General features: G+C 41.1%; 1 annotated feature.

Annotated features, from left to right (window-relative positions):
- Positions 1838-2388: an enhancer, noted in NCBI's record as "NANOG-H3K4me1 hESC enhancer chrX:146458627-146459177 (GRCh37/hg19 assembly coordinates)". NCBI's record gives its function as "activates a minimal SCP1, AML or CMV promoter by ChIP-STARR-seq in naive and primed H9 embryonic stem cells {active_cell/tissue: H9 hESC(naive and primed)}" and the evidence as "EXISTENCE:reporter gene assay evidence [ECO:0000049][PMID:30033119]".

The following is a 3917-nucleotide window of genomic DNA, read 5'->3' as shown; positions in this document are numbered from 1 at the left end:
GTATCCACTGTTTATCTTTCTTAAATCCTATTTTGCGTAATCCTTTCTATAGGCAAAACTACTTTGTTCCTTGGGTAAAGTTTACCATTTAAAATTTTCATTGACATGACATTTTCCCCAGTTTAGATTTTGCTCATCAGTTACACAGAGGAAACTCTTTCTAATTTCAAAATAATCTACTCTTGTGATGCTTCTTCTTTAATACAAAGCTTTCATAACTGCTAGTACTTTTTTGCATTTTCAGACTAGTGAATCTTTCAAATCGTGTAAAAAGTTTGAGCTGCATTTATATTTAAACTAACTTTGGCGGGGGGCATGGGCAATCAAGTATATGTCATAGCGGCTTTACAAGTAGACTTTGCATGTAGAAAACAGAAAAGGAAAAAGTCCATATAGTTTTCAAATAAGTTATAGAACTTTAAGAGTTAACTATGTACAAATACATGTATAATGCAAAAGGCATGCTCACACACGAGTGCAAATATTAGAATAAACATTTTCATCTATTTGAAAACATATCCTTTCTACAAATGATCACGTGACAGGAAAAGTTGAGTGATAATATCTGGGGAATAATCGGCAAGGCAAATGTTATTTTTTCTCTAAAGTGTTAGACATTGGATTAGGTAGAGAACTATGCGGATGACTAATGACATTTTTTAAAAGTTGTATGCACATGTTTTGATCATGTAGGCATTATTTCAGCAAATGCTCTACTTTTAAAGAAGGCAACATTTCCACTTTAAAATCAGTAACAAACTTAAAGTCTATTCAAATAAAAGGCTGAGGTATCAGTATATGAACTGAAGTCCATTTTCCACACTCGGCAGGAGACGATGATATAAAAATGAAATAAACAAGAACTAAAAAAAAATTGTCATGCCCTTTATTGTTCACTGTCAACTTAAGATCATTTTTAAACTTCCCGTTAAGAAACTTGTTTGGAATATATTGAATCACTAGGAAGAATAACATGGAAAATACCAACCTCAGATGTTTTCTTGGGTTGATTTTAGGCCTCTTCCATTAACATGGAGATACACTAAATTGCTGAAATTCACTTTAACTGGATGCTTATTTATTGACTAGCACAACTACAATTTTAAAAAGATCTGTTTATATTCCTACAAAACATTGGTAATATTGTTTTAATTTGTTAAGTATTTGTTAAGTTTGGTGTAGTCACGTACAGCACAGTAAGGGAAACTCAGACCAGAAAGGCAAAAGAGTAAGTTTATTACTCACAAACTCCAGAGAGAAGAGGGCAGCATGCTTTGCAGGGCCAATGGGAATGAGTAGGGGGCATTCAGGACGTGTACTCAGCCAGCAGGTAGAGAGTAAGAGTGAGAGGGAGGGACCTGTGGGCCCATGCCTTTTTCGAGGTCTGGGTCCTTATCTATGTAGATTTTTCTGTGACAGGTTGTATTGGTTAATTTGAAAGGAGCAAGGGGCTAAGCATGGGAATATGGGCTTAAATTGTCAATTTCACCAGGCTTGCTTACAAGCAGAAATAAGATGGTCAAGCACTTCAGTGTATGGAGCCTTATCTACCTGGAACAAAAAAACAGGAACTGAGAGGACTGTCTCAAAATATGTAGGTCAAGGGTGACAAGCTAGGGACAAGACAATAAGATGGATGCCAAGGCAGCATTCATATTAATGAGATTTTTGACAATCACTATTGGTCATCAAATGTGTAGTATCACACTAATGAATTGGTTCATTTTGCTTTTATTTTCTATTTTAATTTTTTTAAATATTATAATGTCTTGGTTTTTGTTTTTGATTGATAACATATATTTGAATTAAATATTCTGTTGTTTCCTAGCTTCTCTACTTTTCGTATGAAGAGAATTTTCTGGTCAGGAGAGAATGCTTAACTTAAGAATCCTTACTAATGATTTTAATGCCTTTACTTTTTGCTGAAAGAGAACTTGATGTTTAACAAAATGTTTAATTTTTAGAAACTCACATATGAGACAGGTTCAAGATGACTGACTAAAAGCAGCTAGTGTGTACCACTCTCTCGGAGGAGACAGAGTGGTGAATACACACTAGCTCTTAAAGTGGATTGCCCAGGAGACCACGCTGCGATTCATTAAGGAAACAATGACAACCCATGGAGAGCAGAGAAGAGCAAGGCACCTACCCAGGATTGGCATGGAGCCAGGAGAGGCTGCCTGTCCCTTTAAAATGGTGAGTGAGTGACAGTCCCTGGGGACCTACACTGCTGCCGTGAACCTTTGCAAGCTGAGCATGGGAGAGCCCACCTGACCACTGTGGGCCTCCAGAGTGACACAGAAAGCTGCCTGGAGTCTGAGCAGAGCCAGCACTCAAACCCACATTGAGTCCCATGGGCCTTGGATCCCTGAGCACCTTGGCACCAGCTTCTGTAGCCCTGACAACAAGGGAAGTCTGACCCTTTCACATGCCCCTAGGATAGGGGCTGCGTCCACAGTGCTAAGGAGTGGACAGACTTTAGGCCCCACATCTGCTGCACATTGCCAGGCAAGGGCCACCGGCCTGGACCCCAGCACAGCCACCCTACCACAGCTGAGGACTCCAGATGGTCACAACTCTCCGTTTCTCTGAGCCAGAACTCCCACTGTGATTGCCACTGTCAAGGTCCCTGCCTCTGCTTATCTCAGGCTGGGGAGGGAGCAAACAGCCTGAAAACTGTCACAAGGCCTCCAGCACACTGCAGCTGCTGTATTGAAAGGAAGCGAAACTGTTTTCCATGTGCGTCCTTGCCCCTGCTGTTCCTCACTGGGCAAGGCCTCCTAGCCTGGGACCCCAGCACAGCTACCCTACCTCCACCTAATCGCTTTAGTCAGTGACTCTGCTTTCTCTGGGGTGGAGCTCCCAAAGACAACAGAAAGGCCTTAGCAGGTACCTGCACTTGCTCCCCTGCAGCTAAGGAGGAAACAAATAGGCTCATTTCTTTGCTCACACCTCTAGCATGCCACAGATGCCCTGTGGAGAGGAGGACAGACTGTCTTCTCTGTGTGACCGCACCCCTGCTCTTCTTCCAACAGGGTCCCCTGGCTTGGGCCTGCAGCACAGCCACCCCGCTCCTGTCTGATCATTCTAATTGTCAGTGGCTCTGTGTTTCTCCTGGAACATCTAACAAAAGAAATGCAGGCATAGTGCCAGCGATCAGAGGGTGCTTCCCCAAAACCCAGGAGTGGACCTGATGAGGGAGTGACCTCTTTGCCCATCACATCACAGAGCATGGCTGCAAACATGAGGAAATACAAAGGAGCCACACAGCTGAGTAAGAGCCTATCTACTGGTCGTTACTCTTAAGCACAATCTACTGTATCGCAGCCCAAACTACAAAACCAAAAATGCTTTGAAAGTATATACCACTCTGAAAGCAAGGGCAATAATTCAGCCACAAATAAAGACCCTGCACAGAGCTTTGGCCCTCTGAAAACATCCAGAAATGAAGTCAACTGACTATAATAAACTTAAACCACAATTAAAGGAACACCAACACTCCCAGATAAGAATCAACACAAGAACTCTGGCAATTAAAAAACCCAGAGTGTCCCCATACCTCCAGATGAGTCCATTAGCTCCCCAACAATGGTTCTTATCCAATCAGAAATAACTGAAATGACAGGCAGAATTCAGAATCTGAATGGCAAGGAAGCTCATTGAGATTTAGGAGAAAGTTGAATCTTAGTCCAAGGAATCCAGTAAAATGATCCAAGAGCTGAAAGACAAAATAGCCATTTTAATGAAGAACCAAAATAAACTTCTAGAGCTAAAAAATTAACTACAATAATTTCATAATAAAAATAGAAGTATTAACAGCAGAATAGACCAAGCTGAGGAAAGAATCTCTGAGCTCAAAGATGTGTTATTTGAATCAATTACATCAGATAAAAACAAAGATAAGGTTTTTTTTAAAT

Source organism: Homo sapiens, chromosome X (genome assembly GCF_000001405.40).
Source record: "Homo sapiens chromosome X, GRCh38.p14 Primary Assembly".
NCBI lineage: Eukaryota > Metazoa > Chordata > Mammalia > Primates > Hominidae > Homo > Homo sapiens.
This window is presented reverse-complemented; position numbering and strand designations above follow the sequence as displayed.